Below are 25,410 nucleotides of genomic sequence, written 5' to 3'. Positions count from 1 at the left end.
TGAAGGAGGATATATTACAATACCCTTTTTACTGTCCCCTCAAAATAAAAAGAAAAAACAACTAATGCTCAGTGATTAAAGAATTAACAAATATCGTTATGTCCTCAATCACACATACAGGGAAGCTACAAAAGTTAGCTCATAAAGGCAGAGTAGAATTATAGATACCAGAGGCTGGGAAGGATGGATGAGTAGGAGAAGAGATGAAGAGAAGTATGTTAATAGGTACAAACATATAATTAGATAAAGGTATGAATTTTACTGTTCAACAGCAGATTAGAGTGACTACAGTTAACTAATACATTGTATATTTCAAAGTAGCTAGAAGAGAGAACTTGAATTATCCCCAACATACAGAAATAATAAATACTCAAGGTGATGGAGACCTCAAATACTCTGACTTAATCATTACACATTCTATGTATGTAGCAAAAAAAAAAAAAAAAAAAATCACGTGCACCTCATAAATATGTAAAATATCTATCAATAAAAATAAAGAAAAGGTAAATCAAAAAAATAAAAGAAACTGGACCAAGTCACAGCTAGTCTAACCAGCTTTACTTAAGAGTTTCATAGAGGATTTCCTGGCATAAGAAACTCTTAAAATTCATTTTAAGAAACGGTAATTAGAGAATGGAAATAAAATGGAATAAGCCACCTTTTGATGTATTGCTGGCTGTACTATAATAAGTGTAGACCAGTATGTTCACTGTTTTAATAGCGTGTGAAAGAAAGTCTTTTTAGCCCTTTTCTTTCACTCCATTTTAACAGAACACAGTTCTGTAGATGAACTCCAGGTCTAGGTTCCTAAAGTGACATCCTGAATGAATAAACGGATACTGCCAGTAGACACAGAAAGTAAAATAGGTCACTGAAAAGAACAGAACAGAGCGGGGGACTTGGTGGGGAGGGCCTTCATTCACTTTTGAAAAACCAGTTACTTAATTGGATAGGCAGCCTTTCTCATTTAAACTGACTTTTGTTTCAACTTACCAAAAAAGAGTTTACTTTTAAACCTGTTTACTTTTACACGTTAATATTTAACTATTATTTATTTAATAGAAAATGTGGTCTTCTGGTCATGTCGTTTCTTAGGATACTCAGGGGAAGCCAGTCCCCATCTATATATAATAGTCACTGTACTGAAATGTAAATTTAAATCTAATGGCGAACTAGTTAAGTAACATTTTAATGAATATCCGAAGAAGATGCAACAGCAAGTTAGTTTGATATCATCAGAATCCAGGTAAAAAGAAATACCTGAGAATCCAGCAATTATTATTAACAACTCTTTTCCCAATCCTTTAATATTTCTGAAAGAATAAAAATAAACTCTTAGCAATGGAAACGGGTACCCAAGATAACAGGGATAGAAGAAAATGTACTCTTACGAGTCTCTGAATTTTGAATTATCTCAATGTATTAACTTTTCAGAAACTTTTCTTAAAAGTTTTTACTTATATAGTGATAGTAATGAATTACAACCCATAAGAAAAGATTGATATAAATAACTGAATAAATAAATACAAGGGGGAAAGGGGACAGCTCTTCCTTAAAGAATTTTAATTAGTAAAAATCAATGCAAACAAAAATCATTCAATGAATGCTAAATTAGTTAGCAAAAATATGAAAGGATAGCTGTACGGTTTCAGAGTATCTCCCCTGTAAGGCATTTATTAATTACTAAGGAAAAAAGGAGAAACTACAGTGGAGAAATCTGACAGACATCGCCTTAACCAACTAATCAAAGTTAATATTACCAGTATTAAGACATATACCCCACAACGGTCGGGCTCGATGGCTCACGCCTGTAATCCCAGCACTTTGGGAGGCCGAGGTGGACGGATGAGGAGGTCAGGAGATCGAGACCATCCTGGCTAACACAGTGAAATCCCTTCTCTACTAAAAATACAAAAAATTAGCTGGGCGTGGTGGCGGGCGCCTGTAGTCCCAGCTACTCAAGAGGCTGAGGTAGGAGAATGGCATGAACCCGGGAGGCGGAGCCTGGAGTGAGCCGAGATGGTGCCCCTGCACTCCAGCCTGGGCAACGGAGCAAGACTCCAACTAAAAAAAAAAAAAAAAAAGACATATACTCCACAGCATGATCCACTGAGATGGGCACAACAGCGCTTGTGTGTGATTGTTTTGCCAAAAATGGTCCTCATTATAATCATGAGAACACATCAAACAAACCCAAATTCAAGAACATTTTTATAAAATAACTAGCATTCTTCAAAAGTGTCAAGGTCATGAAAGAATGTGAAATGGCCACAGATTGGAGGAAACGAAACAGACATCACTACTAAATACAATGTGGAATCCTGGACCAGAAAAACCAACAGAGTAGGAAAACCTGGACCAGAAAAACCAACAGAGTAGGAAAACCTGGACCAGAAAAACCAACAGAGTGAGGAGGAAAACAGGTAAAATTTGAGTAAGATTTGCAGATTAGTGATAGCACTGTATCAATACTCATTTCCTGCTTCCCATAACTATACTATGATTATATGAGTTAACATCCACATTATTTTTTTCCACTGTTATGTAAATCTAAATTTATTTCAAAATAAAGAATTACAATTTAAAAAGTGAGCCTGGGCAACATGGCAAATCCCATCTCCACAAAAATTAGCCAGGTGTGGTGGTGTGCCTGTAGTCCCAGCTACTCAAGACTGAGGTGGAAAGATCGCTTGAGCCCAGGAAGTAGAGGCTGCAGTGGTCCATGATCACTCCGCTGCACTCGCCTGGGTGACAGAGCAGGACCCTGTCTCAAAAATAATAATAATAATAATTAAAAAGTGTTTGCTTTGGACTTTGGGGTTATTTATTCTAATGAGGGAAGGGGGGAAATAATGTGACAAAGTATGAAAGCTGTGAAAAAAGATAAAGAAAACTGAGGGAAAAAAATCACTCAAAATGGTATCTTCTACAGTTTAAATAATGTTGTTAAAATTTTAATTATACATATTTGCTTTCTTCAAATAAGCAATCATTACTAATCATCCAAAATATATGTTAAATATAAGTGCTTAATATATTCGTTACTCTTCTCCAAAATAAATATCCACAGATAAAAGATCTAATGTTAACCTCAACTACAGATGACTTTCCCTGCAAAAGCTTTGTAAATTTTATCTATACGTTTTAGATTTTCTTTAATATACTGCTTTAAAAGAAAACACACACACTTTGAACTTTCCTTAAAGAAGGTGGAGAAAGATTACAATCCAAAACAATGACCTTTCTATAAAAAGCCTATCTTCCTAATACATGTGGTAAGGCAAAAAGCACTGGCCTTGAGTTTACACAACCTGGATTTTACTCCTGTTTCGCCAGCATGATTTAGCTGAGCTGTGTGCCTTCAAACTGAACCTTCTGGGTCTCATTTTCTTCATCTGCGAAATGAGCACATTAGACCACATCACATTTATGGCTTCCATCTGCCCTAAAATGCATCTCTTTGTCTTCTTACAGAGAATTCCATTTTGTGCTCCTTCTGTACTGACCCCCTACAGGCAAGGGCTGTATATACTCAATGACTGGTTGAGAACTCCAGGCCAGACTATCCTACTCCTGCCAGAACTATATATTCTAAAATGTCTTAAACTACTACTGGCCACCAGAATTTACTTTAAATTACATCCTCGGAAAACACCAAATCCTCATGTAATTAGATTCCTCTACACTTGCTCTTGAAGAAGTGGGGAAAGGTCTGTACCTATGTATTTCGCCCTCTTGAAGCTCCAAATCCCTTAGGGCTTTAAAAGGAATTTGGTAAATCAGACTGAAAATGAAACCGATGCCCCAAAAATTCTGAAGGAGTTACGTCTGTGTAGGAGGTAGGGGTAAATTGCTTTTTCCTAGGTAATAATTTATTTGATTTTTAATTAACCTTTTCGATTGTATTCAAAATTTCACCTAAGTACAATACAGAAAGAACCTAAGGTTTATAATCATGTAGCATAGGTTTACCTCAGTATCACCTTAATACCATAAACAAAGCAAATACATGTCTGTCACTTCATGACATTTTTAGGAAAGAAAATACATGTCAAAAGACATTCACAGGTGTTGCAAGAGAATTCTCTCATATTATGAAAAAGCCAAGAGGAGTTGTTGTTGTTGTTGTTGTTATTGTTTTGAGACGGAGTCTCGCCCAGGCTGGAATGTAGTGGCGCAATCTTGGCTCACTGCAACCTCTGCCTCCCGGATTCAAGCCATTATCTGCCTCAGTCTCCCAAGTAGCTGGGAATACAGGCACCCGCCACCACACCGACTAATTTTTGTATTTTTAGCAGAGACAGCATTTCACCATCTTGGCCAGGCTGGTTTTGAACTCCTGACCTCGTAATCCACCCGCCTTGGCCTCCCAAAGTGCTGGGATTACAGGCGTGAGCCACTGTACCCGGTGAAGAGTTTTTTAAAGGCTTAAGAAACAATCTACTATACACAATATTCCAAAAGGAACTACAACAAGCACTGACATTGAATTCGAAAAATAAAATTCAGCAAAAATATCTTGGTCTGTAACAAGACCAACATATTACACAGTGCCTTCAAATGTCAAAGTAATTGGTATTGAAAACATTATTTTAATATGGTAAGCAATATGATCTCCTTTAATTAAACCACAGTTGGTTTACTTCACAAAGATTCAGAAAATCTAAGTCATGTCATGCTACTGGCAAATCTACATTTATTACTTTTTTACTGCCTCTTCAAGTGTACATTCTATCATATAATAACATACTTGGAAAGCAAATTTAATCAGTTTTTCAATGCAGAATACAGCCCTCTGTGTTGAGATTGTAAAAGTATAACTGATTAGAAGCTAAATACTATATTTAAAAAATATATATTACTAATACAATCCAACAAAAACCCTGGTAATGGACATTCCAGACCAACCCTCCACAATGAAATCCTATCACCAACTCCCTTCTCAACCTATCTGATACATTCAAGACTAAACTCCTAAGCCTTCCCCAAAATTTGTTCCTCCTGATCTCGGGCAATGACACAATGTCAAGTCCATTCTCACACTTCATATTCCATCCACTAGCAAATACTGTGTACTCAACTTTCAGACTATATCCCCAATTTCACTTCACCATCACAAGCCCTAACATTACAGCTCTAACCACAATCATTTCCTACCTAATCTTAACCTAACCGGTCTACCTGCTTCCACCACTACCTTGGTCAGTCTATTCTTTATTCTTTGGAGTTAGCCTGCTGAAATCCAAGTGAGATGTCACTCCTCTGTTCAAACTTTTTGGTTTCAGGACTCCACTCTCTAAAAATTAATTGGAGGAGCCCAAAGAGATCCCTGTTCATGAAAGTTATGTCTAATAAAACTTACCACGCTAGAAATTAAAACTAAAAATGTTTAAATTATTTTTTCATTTTAAAATACTAGTAAACTTATTATATATTAACCAAAAATGCACATTTTACAGAAAATAACCTATTTTCCAACTAAACAAATTACTGAAAAGGTCAGTTTTATACTTTTGCAATCTTTTAAATGTCTGTTTTAATAAAGACAGCTAGATTCTCTCTTCTCTTGAATTCAATCTGTTGCAATATCACATAGCACGCAGCCTCTGGAAAACTCCACTGTACATTCGTATGTAAATGGTGGTGAAAATGGCAAATAACATCTTATTATCACAAAGATAGTCTGATTTCACAGATTCCCTAAAAGGATGCCCAGAACCACTGCTCTAATGATTTCCCATCTCAGTTGGTATAAAAGCCCAGGTCCTTACAAAGATAAACAATAGCCTACAGCATCCACACAGGCTCCCCTTGCCCTCACCTTTTTTGCCCTTCTGATCAAATGTCCTTAACCAACCTAACCTCCGTCCCTGGCTACAAGTCCACACAAGGAATTGCTAGCCCTGCCCTCAAGGTTTTGCAGTAACTCTTTCCCTGCCTTGGAAAGCTTTTCCCCAAAGAGCAGTATGGCTCACACTAACACCTCCTTCAGATTTCTGCTCCAGTTTTTCAAGGAGTCCAACCTTGATCTTCCTATTTTTAAACAGCAACTTGCCTCAATCCATAGGAACACTCCAGATCCCCTTTACCCTTCAATTTTATTTCTATAATTCATATTTCCTAATACATTACTGTACTTGTTTATTGATTATTGCCTGTTGACATTAGAATGTTAGCTGAGAGGGCAGATAGCTTTGTTTTTGCCTTTTGCTATATTTGTAACATCTACATCCTTGGAGAAAAAACACCTTTTGAACAAATATTAGGACTATTAGCACAAAAACACGCAAAGCTCCAAAAATATTTCTTGTAACTTCACTCAAGCATCAATATGGCATCTGCTTGACAATTCTAGCTAGCTTACTCCTCTTCCCTTTAAAGTAATATAAATGCACAGTGCTCTTCTGCAAATGGCTTGGTCTCTTTATTCTGGACTTGAGAAGTTTAGAACACTTTGCTAATAACATATGTTCATTACATCAATGCTAAATTCTTCCAGTGTATCTTACATCAGATGAGAAAATAAAATATACAGGCATCTAAATATGTGCTTAGTCTTGGCTTTAAGAAAAAAACCGAGCCAATAAGGAAAAGGCTGCTCCTGCCAGGATTGCACAAAAGGACTGCAATCATCCACTCCTACTGAGCTTTATCATAAACCCTATATTCATAGCCTGCACAGTCCTAATTAACCCTGTACTCAAAGTATATTTAGTAAAAATATATTCAGAACATAATAAAATAAAAGCTTTTTAATTTCCTAAAAGTAAAAACTTTACAAAATTGAACTGACCTGAATAAAGTATAACCTGTTTTAAAAAAAAAAAACTGTCTTACCAATGATACAATATAATGATTTTTTTCGTATATGCATTCAACAACTATGTATTTTACACCTACTCTGTACCAGGCACTGGCCAAGGCCCTAGGAATATAGTCATGTGCAAATACAGACATGGTCCCAGTTCTATAACAAACTAAATGAACAAAAACTATAGTTGAAGCAGAGTAGCAAAATAAGACCTCTTAAAAGAAACCTCTAAACATACTTCATAACACAAAGAATAATTTTACCTTTTATTGAGTTTCTACATCTCATCATATAACTTAAACTAAGGAAGTTATGCCAATATTAAAAGCATTATGTTGGATTCTACAGTCATTCAGTCTATATGGCTAGGAGATACAAATCCAGAATTCAGAGTAATGAAGTCTAATGTCTTTCCACATAAAAAGCCTCCCCAAGAACTCTGTGGTGGAAGTCAGCATTTTATTCCATTATTATCAGGTAGATTCCCTTACAGGTAAGTAATATTTTCACCTTCATTTCATAGTTAGGAAAGAGAGATTTGGGGATTAAGTACTTTCACCAAAGACCACATAAAGATGAAAATCTAGCTGACTCCAAAAGCTGTATTCTTTTACTCATACCATTTGGCCTCTCCAGCACTACTGCTCCATCCCCAAAGTTAAATTTGGTTGCTGCTAGAGTGAGTGATCATGATAGTGGGAAAAGCAGTGATGACAGATGGTAAGAGCTAGATAGAGAAGAAGGAAAAGATGGGGCAGTGAGTAGAAATTAGAACTATGAATAAAGTAAAGAACAAAAAAGTAGAGACATATACAATGAGGGGGGAAAGGAAATGGTATATTCAAATTAAAAGTGGAATGAAAATCAGACAAGACATTCTCATTTAAGCTTTTCACCATCCATATTTACTCATCCATGAGGACTTCTAAGATTATTCTAGGCCAGGCACAGTAGCTCACGTCTGTAATTCCAGCACTTTGGGAGGCCAAGGCAGGCAGATCACTTGAGATCAGGAGTTCGAGATCAGCCTGGTCAACATGGCAAAACTCAATCTTTACTAAAAATACACAAATTAGCTGGGCGTGGTGGCACACACTTGTATTACCTGCTACTCGGGAGGCTGAGACATGAGAATTGCTCACACCCTGGAGATGGAGGTTGCAGTGAGCCAAGCCACTGTACTCCAGCCTGGGCAACAGAGTGAGACTCTGTTTCAAAAAAAAAAAAAAAAAGGATTCAGGACGCGGTGGCTCATGCCTGTAATCTCAACACTTTGGGAGGCCGAGATAAGTGGATCACCTGAGGTCAGCAGTTTGAGAACAGCCTGGCCAACACGGTGAAACCCCATCTCTACTAAGAATACAAAAAAAAAAATTAGCCATGTGTGGTGGCGGGCACCTGTAATCCCAGCTACTCGGGAGACTGAGGCAGGAGAATCACTTGAAACCAGGAGGCGGAGGGTGCATTGAGCCGAGATCGTGCCACTGCAATCCAGCCTGGGCAACAGAGTGAGACTCCGTCCCCCACCCCCCCGAAAAAAAAAAAAAACAAAAAAAAACCACGAAGGATTATTCTAGAGCGAAAATTCTGAGTTTGATAGAATAAATTCTTTCGCTTGAACAACAAATATTTGTAGGTGTCTGTCATGTAATACATGCTCAAGAATCTGCTATTATTAATGCAGTAGTTCCTATCTTTCTGTGGTATCAGACACTGTGCTGGAGACACACTGGTAAGCCATACAGCCCTTGCCCATGAAGACCTGGCAGTGGGCCAAGCTGTGGAGGTGAAAGAAGATGAAACTGATGATCTGGACCCTGTGCAGGCCTAGGTTAATGTGTGTGTTTGTCTTCAACAAAAAGGACTCAGAAGTAAAAATTAAATAGAAAAGTTCGAAAACAGAAAAGAGCTTATAGAATAAGGATATAAAGAAAATATTTCTGTACAGCTGTATAATGTATTTGTATTTTAAACTGTAATTGTAGTCAAAGGTTTAAAAAATTTAGAAGTTTATAAAGTTATAGTATGTTAAGGTTAATTTATTACTTAAGAAAAATATCTTTTATAAATTCAGGGCAGCCTAAGAATACAATGTTTATTAAATCCACAGTAGTATCCTAGGACTTTCACACATTCACTCACCACTCACTCACTGACTCACCGAGAGCAACTTCCAGTCCTGCAAGCCCCATTTATGGTAAGTGCTTTATACAGGTATACCATTTTTTATCTTTTATACCACATTTTTACTGTACCTTTTCTATGTTTAGAATGTTTCTACGTTTACACAAATACCATTGTGTTATAACTGCCTACAGTATTCAGTACAGTAGCATGCTGTACAGGTTTGCAGCCTAGGAACAAAAAAGGCTATACCATACAGCTGAGGTGTGTAGTAGGCTATACCATCTAGATTTATGCAAGTACACCCTATGATGTTCGCAAAAGGAAATAGCATAATGATGCATTTATCAGAATCTATCACTGTCTTTAAGCAATGCATGACTTTATGTGTATGTGTATATATATCTTTCTCTTTAAAATAATAATAGTACTGGTCATCAATGTCATTATAAATGATGACTGTGATGTAAAATTATATTCTGGAAATACTGTGTTCTGATAGATCTGAAAGACAGTATCTACTGATCTGATCATTATTTATCTGAAATATTATCTGAAATCTGAAAATGGTCTTTTCCCAGACTTTGTAGGCATAAAAAATACTTAGAAAAGACACCTAACAAATGCTGTTTGCAAATGACTTCTCACATGTAGATCTACTATACATAGCAAAAGGAAGGTAGAATGTAACAGGTTAATTTTCCCAACTCATTTTTACTAAGTTCCTCCTTAAAATTCAACCACATAATCCAGAAAACCTTAAAAGCTACTCAAACACAAACCTCACAGTACATTTAGCTTATGAAAATGACCGTCAAATACTTTTCCAACACTCTTTTTAAAAGGTCAGAGCTTTTTCTTCCAGGATCTGACCTTTTTTGGCTTAACCACTTTTCCGGAGTTTAAAATTAGTTTAACCACAAATGAATAATTTGAGGGAAACAGAGATGGGAGGGGAGGGCATTTTAGCGTCTAATACATATTGACACAAGTTTGGAAGGTATATTTGCATTACCGTAATGTAAATTTGCATAACTATAACTCAAACCCTAAAATAGTTATCTAAACAAAAACAAAAAACTGAAAAGCATCACACCTGAAACCCTCAATGTGAAACAGTAACATTACTATGGCTAATTTAGTGATGTCACTGTTCAACACATGATTCTAAAATCCATTCACAACCACTCAAAAATCTCAATTACTTCAGGTGTTTTCCAGACTGTGGCATAAACAATCTTGAACTAAATTATGGCTACATTTCGGGTGTGGATTTAAGCACATAACAAGAAAAACTCTTTTTAAAAAGTAAATCACCACCAGTATCTATGGGAACTGAATTTAGTATCATCTCATAAACAAATAATTATATTCAGCTAATTATACTTTGATAATCGATACACTAAATTTATAGCCTGTTACAGAAAAACAGTAAAATTTTAACATAAGTACTATATGTATACATACATCACTTGTATCATTTAAATTATATACATATATAGCTTATGTATATACCTTATTCTAGCTTCGTGTTACACGTTAAATTGCAACAAATTTTAATTTTCATCTGAAAGTAAAAATAAAGCTTTCCTGGATCAGGAGAACTAGAGTTAAAATAATTAAACTACATCATCTCTCTCACAAAGGCTTTACCTCTGAATTCTCAACTTGCCACAGCTTCCTTCAGCCAAATAAAACAAATGACCAAGTATCTATGTCACCGATAAGGGAATTAAAGAGTTGATTTATTTTGAACTCTCCTCTCCATGGAAATTGAGAGATGGCTAAACATTCAAATGTATCTCCAACATTACATGCTCTTCTCCTATGAATGTAATCATTCTCCAAAAAGTCAGGCTCTTAATTTAGATGGAACTACTTTCAATGAAAAATATACAATTTACTGGTTCTTGCTTTAGCAAGAAAAGGAATACTTCTATTTCTTCTTCCCTTTTTTTTTTTTTTTTTTTTTTTTGAGACGGAGTCTCGCTCTGTCGCCCAGGCTTGAAAGCAATGGAGTGATCTTGGCTCACTGCAACCTCGGCCTCCCAGGTTCAAAAGATTCTCCTGCTACAGGCACACACCACCACGCCCAGCTAATTTTTGTAGTTTTAGTAGAGATGGAGTTTCACCATGTTGGCCTGGCTGGTCTTGAACTCCTGGCCTCAAGTGATCAGCCCACCTCGGCCTCCCAAAGTGCTGGGATTACAGGTGTGAGCCACCGCACCTTGCCATTTCTTCCTTTTCATACCTTCAGTCTCATGACCACCTCAGTAAGTTGTTCCCTGAATAGAGAATTTGTAAAACGTTTTTCTTGCTTTCTCCATCAAAATATTAAGCTCTCATACTTGCTTTAAACTTAAACTTCTCCAATTCTATACCTAAAGAGAACAAAGATCTACCACAGCTATACCCTTATTATGTAATGTACCATGCTGCCCAAAACTACAGTCAAAAGAATCAGGGTTGTGTATGGAAGCAAAATCGAATAACCTTCTAGAAGTTAACACTTCTTTACCTTTAAACCCCAGTAGTTTCAATAAGTATAATGAGAAATGTTATTTTTATATTTTACATCAGCATTTCTACATTTTAAACATTTACCTTGCTTGGATGGGTAAATGTTTCCAATAGCCACAAATAATTCTCTGAACTTGGACATTAGCTATCTGTTAACAAGCATGTATACTGCGGGACAGAACAGGCATCTCAAAATACACACTACAATGCACCTAAATTCTGGATTAAACACTTTAAATAGTGTGTACTGAATCAAGGGTTTGGTTATTCCTAAGAAATTACAAACATTAGTCACTTAGAGTAAAAAATGACAAAAACCCAGATTTTCCTGTAATAGAAATTTTCTACCATTCTGTGTTTAAATATTATAATATAAATGGCTTAAATACAATAGAAAATAGTAAAGACTGATCATTTATATGACAAACATTCTGTCAGTAGTGTTAATTATAAGCCCACAATATTCTATATCCTTTAAGATTGCAGTTCCTCATATATACAGCAGAAACATGAAATACACGGCATATGACTAGAAACGTGGCAAATGGATTTCATTAGGCATATCATCTACTAAAATGTTAAAAACCAGCAAAATTTTAAATACTTTATAAAATACAAAAATGCATGTGCTAAAGGCTTTAATGTATAAAACTTAACTTTAAACCATCTCTAACACTTAAATAGAATACTCAAGTGTCATTCATCTGAACTAAGCAGGCCAAGCAAAATACCCTATGATTCCAATGTTCTCCTCAATGTCAAAATGGGTGGATAAATTTAAAGCCTGTTCTCTCAAGAGTTGCTTTATAGGCAATTTTCTCCCAGTATCAAGGTCTGCAATTTCCATTAGGCTGCCAGTTTGCGATTAAATTCATCACCTTTATTATAAAAATGTGCTTTACTCCATGGCCTGCTGCACAAGAACTATAAGGAAAACATTTTTCACTGCTGCCGGCAAAATCATTCTAAGGCAACCACCACATTCACTCCAACATTAGCTTCTTCAACCTGAGGTAGCAGCCTATCCTTCACAGGAAAAACCTGTAACAATTGCGTAACTTACAGAAACTAAATTCTATAGAAATGTCATGCTTTATGTTTTTTGGATAATATGCAACTAATCTATTAACGTCTAGATTCAGTATTATTGTGAATTCACTGTGAGATAAAAAGTCAATATACAGAATATACACAAGTTGCAATTTTTTAAAAAAATCATTTTTAAGTGTTGGATAATTAAGTACCCATCTTTTATTCCATTATTTAAAAGTTAATGGTTTATTTTACAGTTTAATTTACCATCTGTACAAATAATCAAATATATTTTTATATTAAACTTCTACCTGACTTTACCTTTCTTAATAAGTCACAATACTGAGGGGGGAAAAAGTCAGGAAAGAAGTATTTCTCCAATAATAATATTAAAGCTAGTTCCTATGACATATTTAGGAAAATATTACTCATTTGTAAAATTTAATTTTTTTAAAGATTATCTATATAATTAACATTTATCTTATTTATTAATTTTTTTTTTGAGAGTCTCACACTGTTGCCCAGGCTGGAGTGCAGTGGCACGATCCTGGCTCACTGCAAGCTCCGCCTCCTGGGTTCACACCATTTTCCTGCCTCAACATCCCAAGTAGCTGGGATTACAGGCGCCCACCACCACGCCCGGCTAATTTTTTGTATTTTTAGTAGAGAGGGGGTTTCACTGTGTTAGCCAGGATGGTCTCGATCTCCTGACCTCATGATCCGCCCGCCTCAGCCTCCCAAAGTGCCAAGATTAATATTTATTTTTTAACAAACTTGGCCAGTAAGCTAAAAGTTCAAAAATATCTTATTTTCAAGTAAACTTGATTATTGTTTAGTTTTTATAAAATCTAGGTAAAAAACTAACTTTCCCATCAAGGTAAGCCCGTCATAAGAGGGATTATCAGATTATACGCAGTAGTAATCTGTGAACCTAGAAGAAACTGCCATCTTCCTGCTAGGAAATGATGTGGCCCCTTCCATCTCAGGCTGGGCATGCCTCTGTTAGGGCAGTTACAGCATTGCAGCTTCTATTTTCATTACTCTCCATGCCATTGTGTGGCTCCTTGAGCACTAGACTATGTCTTATCCATCTTTGTATCCCCCCAGCACCCAGCAAAGAGCTGGATTAAAAAAAAAAGTTTGTTGAAAACTAAATTACAGCAGGAATCGACATCGGTTTTGCTAAGACTGCACAGCACACAAGCCACTAAATCAATATTATCAATCACAACCAACCTTTTTAAAAATGAAACAGAATAGAAAAATAGTATACTGCATCACAGGCAGTACAGACAAGTATTATTTCATGAAACTTTCATTTCAATTGTTGAGTTATATAAATGTGTATGTACACATTTTAAGTTCATAACAAAATATTTAACCTTATAGGTAGCATTTTAAAAGTGCAAGGCATGCTACCTTTCGTGGTTCATTCTTTTTTTTTTATGAGAGGAGTCTCACTCTGTTGCCCAGGCTGGAGTGCAATGGCGTGGTCTCAGCTCACTGCAACCTCTGCCTCCCAGGTTCAAGCGATTCTCCCACCTCAGCCTCCCCAGTAGCTGGGACTACAGGCACGTGCCACCACACCCGGCTAATTTTTGTATATTTTTAGTAGAGATGGGATTTCACTATGTTGGCCAGGCTGGCCTCAAACTCCTGACCTCGTGATCTGCCCACCTCGGTCTCCCAAAATGCTGGGATTACAGGCATGAGCCACCGTGCCCGGCCTGTGGTTCATTCTTATACTATTTTTCTGGTTCATATTTATACTGTTAGGATATATGTACCTGTTATTTAATAATAGTAACATTAACAATTAAAGAGACTCTGAAATCACAAAATCAGACTTCTACTTGAGGATCTTCTTAAATTACCACCACTTGCTCCTATACTTTCACTCCTTCCCCCTTCTCAGGCTTCAAGCCATCTGTCTTTAAATATCCACAAAGTAATAATGTAACATTCAAATGTGGTCAACTTGAGACCTATCTGCAGTTACCATGTACCTAAACAACATCACTATGATATATCCTATGCCATTCAGTTAATGTGTTCCAATTTAAAAATCAAATGAAAAAGTTTCACTTTGATAAAGTAAAATGTAAAAAGAAGCCTCTTGTGCCTTTTACCAACATGTAAAATAAATCAATTTTCCTATAACCTAAAACAAATCTAAGATTTTCTAACTCTGATCTTACTTCCACCTGCCTTTATTACTATCATTCTCTTAAGGGATTCATTTATCTCTCTACTCACTACCCTGTTTGGTTATTTTCTTTTACTCAAGATTTACAAAAGAACAATATAAAGTCTTTTCAGATCACCCTTCAAAATTTAGTCTATTCTTAACTAATCACCCTTCAAAATTTAGTCTATTCTAGCCTATAAAACTACAACCTGTACAGAACATCAACACAAACATGTCTAAATATTAGTCTAGCAATCCTTTATCTTAGACTTTTATCACATTATTCCAAAGCAAATGACTCAGATCTATAACAAAGTGGGGAAAGAGAGAGACTACTCTTAACAAAACATTTTAAATTACTGGCTGACACCTGACACAGGAGGATCACTTGAGGCCTTAAGTTTAAGACCAGGCTGGGCAATATCGTGAGACCCTGTCTCTTACCAAAAAAAAAATTTTTTTTAATTATCCAGGCATGGTGGCTCACCCCTGCAGTCCTACCTCTCTGGAGGCTGAGGCAGGAGGATCGCTTGAGCCCAGGAGTTAGAGGATGCAGTGAGCTATGATAGCACCACTGCCCTCTAGCCTAGACAGGGTGAAACCCCATCTCTTTAAAAAAAAAAAAAGGGGGGGGATTTTAAATTATTTATATTGTGTAAAACATGGAAAGTGAAAACCCTTAGGCAAATATTCAGTGAATTGTTCCTAGACCTAGATTCACCCTGCTGGAAAATGCTAATGGACACTACCTAGGAGAGCCTTTGTCTTTGGTTTAACATCAATTTAATGATAATATGACTGTGCATTAGATGCTTGATTGTATTCTTATTTGGAGGAAGAATTTAAAATACCCTGGGTAGATACTTCCAGCAACAAAACAGAATTAAATTAATTAAGACTATTCACAACAGAAGGTAGCCACATTACACAATTATCAGTCATGACATTATTCTGCTTAGAGGGGATCAGGCCCAAAGGTACTCTTACTTGTTAATAATGTAACTTAAATATATTTCTGTCCCAAGAGCCAAATGATCTAACATGCCTGAAACCAGCAGTTTCCAAAATATAAAATGTATTCATATCCTTTGTAAAGGAACAGCATTTACATATATAATGAAGAATGGGTCTACGATCTCTCAAATCCACACCCGCTTTAAAATTGCAGAATTACAGGGTTTTTTTTTTTTTTTAATAAGAACAGTTTTTTGTTTTTTTTTTTTTACAAAAATCTTTAGGGCCTTCCAAATAAAATGCTATTCTACTATCCACCCTTAGACTTCCCTTTTATAAAGGCTACAAAGGTCACCAAAACTTTATGATATAACTGAATGAGGGGAGATAATATATTCTATTAATAGATTAAAATCTAAGTTCACAGAAAACAACCGGTGTTACTGACAGATCTCACAAAATTGCATCTTAATGTTTGTTTAAATGACCTAACAAAGATAAGTATTTTTCTTTCCAAAATTTACTAATTCCTCTTCACCTCACAATTCAGTCATTCCCAAATTTAAAAAATGTAGATGTAAACCAGGCATGAGTTACAACATGAGCATATTTCTCTGTATATACCTATTTTAAAGTAAGTTTCAGTTTGATGTTTAAGCTGGCAGGATTCTATGTTAATTTTTTTTATTTAGAGAATTACATTTTTAAAAAACAGCACATCTTAATTTTTATTTAAATAACAAATGCATTTGAGTTAGACAAAATTCATTACTGAAATCATTTGACTGAATTGTTATTTAATGAAAGCCAGACAAGGACAGTTTTCTTGCTTCCTTTCAATTGAAACCTGAAGCCCAACCTAAGTGGAATAATATAACTTTTTTTTTTCCAAGGGGTACTTTGATTTGACTTGAGCCAGCACTCTCATTCAAAATTAAGATTCCCAAACAATTATTGTTTAAACCTGCCTCCACCCAAGGATCCACAGATCTTTAACAATCCCCTAAAATTTCCCTTAACATATCCTCAGAACTAGTACCAAGAATAAAAGAAAGAAAAACCGTATTTCCTTAACCAAGTAATTTCAGAAAATGCTCAGTTAAACCAAGTTAACTTTCTTGACTGCAAATCCTGGAGACTTAATATGGCAACACATCCTGAATTCACAAAAGGAGTATGCAGAACTTCCTGGACTACAGGACCCTTCTTTTCTCAGACTACCTCAGGAGACCAGTATTCCATGGAACACACTTTTCAAACATCAGCCTAAAGCCTTCCTTGTTCAGAGTTAAATTAGCAGATTTTTGTTCTCTCACTTCCAACCTAACCTATACTTTTTCAAGCCATTAGAGTAAAAAGCAAACTGGGAAGATGGGGAAAAGAAAGCATACTGGTAAAAACTATGCCATACTATCTAGACCAGAATATGCTGACAACTAATCTATCCTTTAGAGCTTAGGCCCATCAGCTCAAGAATTCACACACTCGCTAATCCAGATGTACCTATTCCTCCATGCTCCTGATCAATTCATAAGCCCAATCACCTACACATACAGAAAAAAACTGAAACACATGGCTTCATAATAAAAGCTAAGTAAAATCCAAATGCACTAGGAAAACAAAAAAAATAAAAAGCCAAATTAAGCATACAGATAAACAATAGTTAAAATTAAAAGTTAGGCAGTAAGATACCCCTCTTCTCCAAAAACCTAAAGAGAGTCAAAGTCAAGAAAAAAGAACATCTGAAAATGAAGGGAAGAGAAGGACAGCAGCAATCACAGCAATCTACCACATTAATATATCACTCTATAATGTAATGCCTGTACAGGATAGAGATAAGAAAATCTGGACTAAAAACAGAAATATGGAGGCAGATAAAGGAAAAAGCTAAGACCAAAGGTATAAAAAGCTCTCTCTAATAGAGAATTATTTACACCTTCCTACTCAGAATGTTCCCACATTCAAGAACACCGTTCCCTGTGTCTAGAACGCCACTCCCTTACCTGTTCTCCACTTCAATCCTACCTGTCCTTTAAGAGCCAGATGAAATTTTACCTCCTCTCCTGAAACATTCCATAGCCTCCTCAGCCAAAAACACCCTCTTTAGCACCAGTCTTTAGTCTTCTTGGTATGTTTCTATTTCCTTTGTTACTCTTATTTTCATATTCTTTCCAACTACTGAGATAACTTGAAGGAATGAATTTGAAGCTTTAGTGTGTCCCTCATAACATCGCACACATATTAATAGCATACAACCAAACAGCCTAGAATAGAATGAAAAGTTTCAATTAAGTATGTTAAGTCACTAAAAACTAATACATGAAATATGCAACTCTGACATTATTCGAAAATCACGTTGCATCCTAACAACCAGTTTCTACTGCAATGCAACATAAAATGCTTATTTCAGATTAACTGCATTGCAAAAATAAGAGTTTGGTATTCATAATTCCCAGTTACAGTATTTTGTAACTTAAGGCTTTTAAAAAAGTAACTTCTAAAGCCACTTAATGCTATCATTACACACATTTCCTGAAAGCAAAGTGGCAAGTCCAACAGATTAGTTAAGTAAATTATAATATACCTCGACAGCATGAAATATATTACTATAAACATTATATTTGCAAAGAATATGAAATGGCAAGGAAAAATTTTGCTCATGATATAATTTTTTTTAAAAACCGTAATTCCAATTTTGCTACATCCATAAACACTGGTGGGGGGGGACTACAAGGAAACATTAAGAGCAGCTATCAGTGCATGATGAGTACTTTTAACTTTTTAATTGATATATTTTAGTTTTTCCCAATAAGGAATATTTCTTCTGATAAATAAGTTCTTTATAACAGTTCTTTAGGATTACTGAAAGAAATTCAAGCTTCTCATAAAATCTCTAACAACTATAAGAAACAATCTTAAAATGTATAGACAAAATTGGCCATTGCTATATTTCCCTGAAAAGAAGTAATTCCCATTAAGGTTCAAAGACAATGTGCTACGCTATCTCTGTGCCCTCACCACTGCTTCTTCCAGGAATGAAAAAAGTTACAAACCATGCTACTGCCAAAGATGAACTGAAAATCTGTGGATCGATCTCCAATTCTCTACATTTTAGGAATAACAGAAAAGGAAAAAAGTGGGGCTGGGGAGCAGGGACTAAAATGCAAGTTATTATCAGTTACAAAGGTGGCAAAGTCAATCTCTTCCTCCTTGGTTCTCTATATAGAAACAAGACATATTCTTCTCTCCTGTGCAGAGTTCAATTTCAAGTCACTGAAGGCAAGAGTATTTTAAATTGCCTTGACAGTTTAAAAAAAAAAAAAGCTCAATATAACTGAACTAGGAAAATATAACTTAAATACATTAAAGTACACTTCTGAATCACATCTAAGAAGGAACTTAAATGAGCAGTATTTCAACAATTGCAAAGCATATGTTAAAGCAATCTATGTAGTATTTACCTACTAAAAAAGCTAACAGTATGTCGTAATGCTATAAACTATAATAAAAGTGAGATAAGACTATCTTTTTTACTGCTGATAATTTTTTATTACTATGATAAAACTATGATCCCCAAAAGAACTTTCTCTTCATATAACATATAGTAAACTATGACACATTTTCTTCTGATTTATTTTAATAAACAGAAATAAACTGCCTAAAGACTTTATAATTACAAAGAAAACGTACAAACAGGATACCTCTCAATATATGTGACTCAGTCACCCACCAAAACAAAAACCCTTCAAACAACTGAGTTGTAAAGGCAGAAACTATTTCAGAAAATAGCTGCAATCAATCTGATGTACTAAACTAGTTACATTTAATATGGTCAACATACCAACATATAGTCTCTTAAAAAGACAAGTTCTTTAAAGAACTATGACAACTTTTTCACATGCCAATGAAAATACTCAATTAGGTAACTGTTATTTGTCACATTCCTGAGCAACTCTTCCCTTACAATTTAAAGGAGAACATTTTCCTATTCTGGCAAAAGGGTTATTTCTCAACACATTTTAATCACTGAGTGCTCTCTTTTGTGTACTAACATCCCCATCTGCTGGAACATAAGTTCCTTACTACTAAAAGTTCTTAATGACAACAAGTTTGCACTAGAGATTTTGCAACTACTAAGAAATACAATTTTAAGACTTACTTTCTACCTATGAGGTTTCCCCTACTTCATATGACTTTAAAAGCTTTAAAGATCTATATATATTTTTACTGATATTATTCAGAAGAATTCACTAAATTGAAACATTTTGCCTGTCATATTCTTTTTTCCCTACCCTTCGTGCTTAAGATACAAAGCACTAGTATAAACAACCATCTCCTTGTAAGTTATCTTTCTGGATCATATTGCCATCACACACACACGCGCGCACACACATGCAGGCACACACACGCACGCACCTGACATTAAAATATATGTGTATTTTCCATGTCTGCTGAGCATAAGGTAAAAGCTAATAGAAGCAGTAAGTACAACAAAAGAACACAGCTAATAAATGACAGCATCAAAAAGTCAAAAACAAGATTCAGTAGAAATTAAAACTTAGTATACACAGAATGAGGACCCCCCCACCAAAAAAGGAAAATAATTGTCATCAACCAGAAAAATGGGTCACTGGCTATATTATTGGTAACATGTCTAAAACAAATTTAAAAATTTTAAAGATAGTTTTACTGCTATTAGTAATATTATTAATTTTGTTATTTTGAAAGTATTTTCCTTAATATTGTAGAATAAAGCAAATAAGTATGTCACCATCAAGAACAACATTAGTTTAGCTGTGGCCAGCAAAAAAAAAAAAAAAAAAAAAAGGTACGAGTATAAAATTAACAGTAACGTTAAAAAATTGAATTGAAAATATAAAAATGAATGAATGAATTTTAAAGTCAATACTGTCCATAGAAAATGGCTCAGAAGTAATCACATCCTGAGAGTAATGAACATGTTTAACACCTAAATTCAAGTATTTCATACCATTCCTATTGGAGAAATGGCCAAGTGTAGCTCCAGAACAGGCAAGGCAGACAAGGCACAAGGGAAGCCTTGTGCCCCAGAAAGCAAGCAGCAGTTCAACAGACACAGGAGCCAGTTTAATTATCAATGGCTAAAGTTGTAATAATTTTAACATCAAAATTAATTATAGTTGACTTAAGTACATTGAATCTATGAAATCCATGAGTCTACAAAGATGATTAGAAAAGAGAGAAAAAATTCATTGGTCTCCATTTGAAGCAACTAGCAAACCAACACTTTACTTTGAGAACCAAGTAATAATAAGCAGCAGCATATATCTGGCTTGCCCCATTAGAAACTCACTTCAAAATCGCAATGTATTTCCGTGTTGGGGTCAGAAAGCTGTACCTTTCAAAGGATGCCAAGTAATTGCAGAAAGAATGGCAGAATTAAAGTATCATCATGGTGCAAGCTCTGATGAAACTGATTCAGGCAAAAAACTGGTCAAAACCAGGTGTGAATGTTGACGGGGCACCTTTGGTCGATGGGGCACCTTCTGGTTCCAAGTGGGGAAACAAAACAAAACAAAACAAAAAAAACTACCTTTAAAGTACAAGGATCCATCTATCACCACTCTAATCCAGGTATCAATCTTTCCTTATCTGATGGCAGAGCCAGTTACTGTGCCTCCTGATGTAAGATAACAAAGTACACAGCAGCACCTATGAAGTACTCCAGTGGAAGATGCTATTCTTGAACCTACTTTAGAACTAGCTTCCAATGTTAATAGATACACAGGGCATAAAGGAACAAGCCCTGAACAAGTTAAATCAATGTCATTTGAAAAAAAAAAAAAAAGAGATGGTTCTAGATTTAAAAAGGCGTAACAACCAGATTTAATGAGCAGTATTGAGTAAGATTCTGGTTTGAACAATCCAGCTATAAAGAATATCAGGGGATCCACTACAGAAATCTGAATATGGACTGGTTATTACGTTATCTGTAGGATTAATCCATCTTGCTCAGTGTAATGTCACTATGTAAGGAAGTGTTAACTTTTAAAGATACACAAATATGTATCTCTCTAGGGATAGAATGTCAAGATATCTCTCATTTACCTAAAATAAACACAAAAATTAATACAATTAAATTTTAAAAGCCCGCATCAAACTTGGTAAAACATATTTAAAGGATCTCTGAAATTGGGACAAAATTTTCTTCAAGGCAAATTAATTCAAGAATTCCTAAGATTTTCTCCAAGAGTCTCTTCAATTGTCTTTAGCTCATATAGAAATAAAAGCTCAATTCTCTAACTAAAAATTGGGCTCTGACAGCTAAACAAATGAGCCCCACATGTTCTCAATCCTTCAGGATGAATACACTAACCTGTAGGTAAGGAAAACAAAGACTTGTTTCTAGTTAAAACAAAATTTAAAAAATCTTTAAGGAGTTTAAAATACAGAAAACTCAATATAAATATTTTTATTAATACTATTTTGAGAAAATATCACTACTCAAAAAATTTTCCTAAAGGGTTAGCCACGTATATAATAGTTTGACTCTTCACACTTCATCCAATGTCTACTTTAAACCCATATATATTGTATACATTCTCAGTTTATGCACAAAGAGTTCATTCTGACACCCCCAAATAATCCAAGCCTTAAAGATTCCCTACAACCTTCAGAATAAAATTCAGACTATGTATTCTGGCCTTCAAGGCCCACCACAATCTAGCCCTAACCTGGTCTGCTTTCTGTAGTCTCTATCTATTCCCACTACTTCTATCTATGCATTTGCCATTCCAACTAACTAAATCCGTACCTATTTCCTAAGCCTTGCCCATCACCATGGTGCTGGCAATGCTGCACCTTCCCTTCTCCTGGAACATCCTCCACCTTCCCATTCACCTCATTAAATCATACCAGCTGTTAATATCAACTCAGGTTCCACTTCTCAAATAAACATAACTAGATAGTTCAGCTCAAAGTGACATCCTCTAAACTACCAGAATGTTAGTAGTGACTCTCATGCACATAAAAACTAGCTGAACCTACATGGATACATCATCTTTCTTTTTCTTTTCTCATTCTCTAAAAGCTGTTTTGCTTATTTAATTGTTTATCCTATCATAAGCGATTTTAAAATGTTGATAGAAAGCAGATGACGCAGGCCGGGGGCAGTGGCTAACACCTGTAATCCCAGAACTTTGGGAGGCTGAGGCAGGCATATTACCTGAGGTCAGGAGTTGGAGACCAGCCTGGCTAACATGGTGAAACCCTGTCTCTACTAAAATACAGCAATTAGCCGGGTGTGGAGGTGCACGCCTGTAATCCCAGCTACTCGGGAGGCTGAGGCAGGAGAATCACTTGAACCTGGGAGACAGAGGTTGCAGTGAGCCAAGATCCAGTGCTTTGGCAACAGAGAAAGACTCACACAAAATTAAAAAAAAAAAAAAAATTAAAAACCAAGCAGTGATGCTGCTACTTTATAGTATGAGAGGCTCTTCTGAATACCCATCAACTTCAGAGTATTTGGATTTGAGGTTGGCAGGGCAGTTGATAATTTCATTCACAGATGAAGAAGCTTGAGGTTCAGAGACATTAGTTATCTCACCCAAGATCACCAAACCAGTTAATTGCGGAGTCATGATTAGATCCCAGGTCTATAGTACAAGAATGCTTACCACTTCATCACAGGGTCTCATTAGCATATGCACAAAAACATAAATTCATTTCATCTTTATGCTGGCTCACGCATGTGCAGGCACACACATACAGAGTTAAAACTTGAATACTCTCATGATAATGGCATCACTGCAACCACGGTGGAATCAGCGACAATAGACAATTAGATGCGGTTTCAGGGTAATTTTTTTGATCCCAGTTTGAAATTTTTTTTTCTTAAAAAAATGTATTCACCTGCCATGTAACAACTGTATCAAAGGGATATAATTGCTGTAACATAGCAAAGAACTGTGGCTTACATTTAATTTGTTTGAATTATTTGAAATGAGCAATCATCCCCCAGATGCTGGCATCAGGAATACGATATAGTAGCTACCTGGTGGCTATCTGGTGCAGCACCGTTTCCATTCAATTCATAACCATCCACCTCCTGGGTGTCACTCTTCAGTTATCTACCTGATATATCATTGGGCTGTTTACCCCAGGCTGATCTAAAACTGATACAAGTATACATTCCTAACTTGAATCACTTAGCAATAGCATACTTCTCTATTAAATCACCCAGCCAAAAATGTTTCCTCTTGAGTAGTAAAAATAATAGCAGCAACAATTTTTACATTATTCAAAAAACTGAGGCTCTAGCCTTTGCTTACAAAGAAGTGAATGAGCTGAAATCCTCTAAAAATGGCTTTCTCACTTTTAGCCTCTTAATTAGAAAGTTATCGTTAAAAATAAATTCTAGTTCTAAGAATCTGACCATCATTTGTTCAAAACCAGCATATCACAGAATTAGCAAAAAATCATTTGGTTTGTCTTCTTTACCTTCACAACTTGAGGCAACAGCAGCAGATTTTTAGCATATGGAAATATTCCAGGTTTTTCCCTCCAGTTCCCCTTGTGGAGAGGCACGCCACAAAATGGAACAGAGGGCAGAAGTGAGTGTCTTGCTCTAGCTCTGCTGCCCACTTGTCTTTGCACCTATGAAATGAACATATACTCCCAACTCTCAGGTCCCCTGCAGCTCTAAAACACAATTCTCTGATATAATCTGCAAAGTAAGTTTGAGACCCTGTAAAACTATGACATTGAAGAGTTTACAAAAAAGGTTCCAAATTTTATTTGTTTTTGAGATGGAATCTCGCTCTGTCACCCAGGCTGGAGTGCAGTGGCGCAATCTCCTCTCCCTGCAACCGCCGCCTACCAGGTTCAAGCGATTCTTCTGCTTCAGCCTCCCAAGTAGCTGGCACTGTAGGCACACTCTACCATGCCCGGCTAATTTTTAGCAGAGACAGGGTTTCACCATATTGGCCAGGCTAGTCTCGAAATCTTGACCTCGTGATCCACCTGCCTCGGCCTCCCAAAGTGCTGGGATTACAGGCATGAGCCACCTCACCAGGCTCGGTTTCAAATTTTAAAATTGCATGTTTGTTTTCTTACTATGCATTTCCCTAATTCTACTCTTAAAATGTATTATTTTTTGTTTGTTTTTTCCTATATATTTCAAACTATAAAATCAGCTTAAAAACCAAGGGCTCCCCAATGATTTGCTACTGACCAGGAGATCAGGCCCAGTCTCTACAATGACCTCTCCTGCACTAAAGCAAAAGCGAGGTGCTTACTTAAGGCCAGCTACTTATTCAATCCCGGGGCCAACCTTTCTCAGCTGGAACTTAACCAGCCCCAGTACTCACAAAGCCCAGCTCACATTCACTGCATGTCTTCACTTACAGATATAAATGCCTGCACACACATGCCCTTTACTTACATTGTGACCATTATGTGGAGCCACTTTATGGATGTAACTGCATTTTGATGTTTTATTTTTTAAGACAGGGTCTCACTGTTGCCCAAGGTGGAGCGCAGTAGCATGATCATAACACTGCAGCCTTGACCTCCTGGGCTCAAGCAATCCTCGCTCCTTAGCGTCCCAAGTAGCTGGGACTACAGGCACACACCACCACATCCGACTAATTATGTTCTTTCCGATACTTCAATATCTGCTTATCTGCTAAGCAGAATATGACACATTCTGCTTATAATAAATAATGTGATATAAATCTTACAATCGATTCATTTCCCCAGCCTCAAAATTTAGTTCTACAAAAATATTAGACTAATACATGAA

The 25,410-nt window shown here is 36.0% G+C and overlaps 1 protein-coding gene across 9 annotated transcripts in view, besides 1 other annotated feature; it reads right to left on the bottom strand.

Annotated features, from left to right (window-relative positions):
* QKI (QKI, KH domain containing RNA binding) overlaps positions 1 to 25,410 on the bottom strand; it is a 163,875-nt gene that overhangs the window by 130,893 nt on the left and 7,572 nt on the right. The window lies entirely within an intron of this gene.
* Positions 24,279 to 24,523: a silencer, noted in NCBI's record as "fragment chr6:163844209-163844453 (GRCh37/hg19 assembly coordinates)". NCBI's record gives its function as "represses an EF-1alpha promoter that drives an FKBP-Casp9 reporter gene in an ReSE screen in K562 erythroleukemia cells {active_cell/tissue: K562}" and the evidence as "EXISTENCE:reporter gene assay evidence [ECO:0000049][PMID:32094911]".

The sequence above is a fragment of the Homo sapiens genome, chromosome 6, assembly GCF_000001405.40.
Source record: "Homo sapiens chromosome 6, GRCh38.p14 Primary Assembly".
Lineage (NCBI taxonomy): Eukaryota > Metazoa > Chordata > Mammalia > Primates > Hominidae > Homo > Homo sapiens.
Note: the sequence above shows the minus strand (reverse complement) of the source record. Positions and strands in the feature narration are given on the sequence as shown.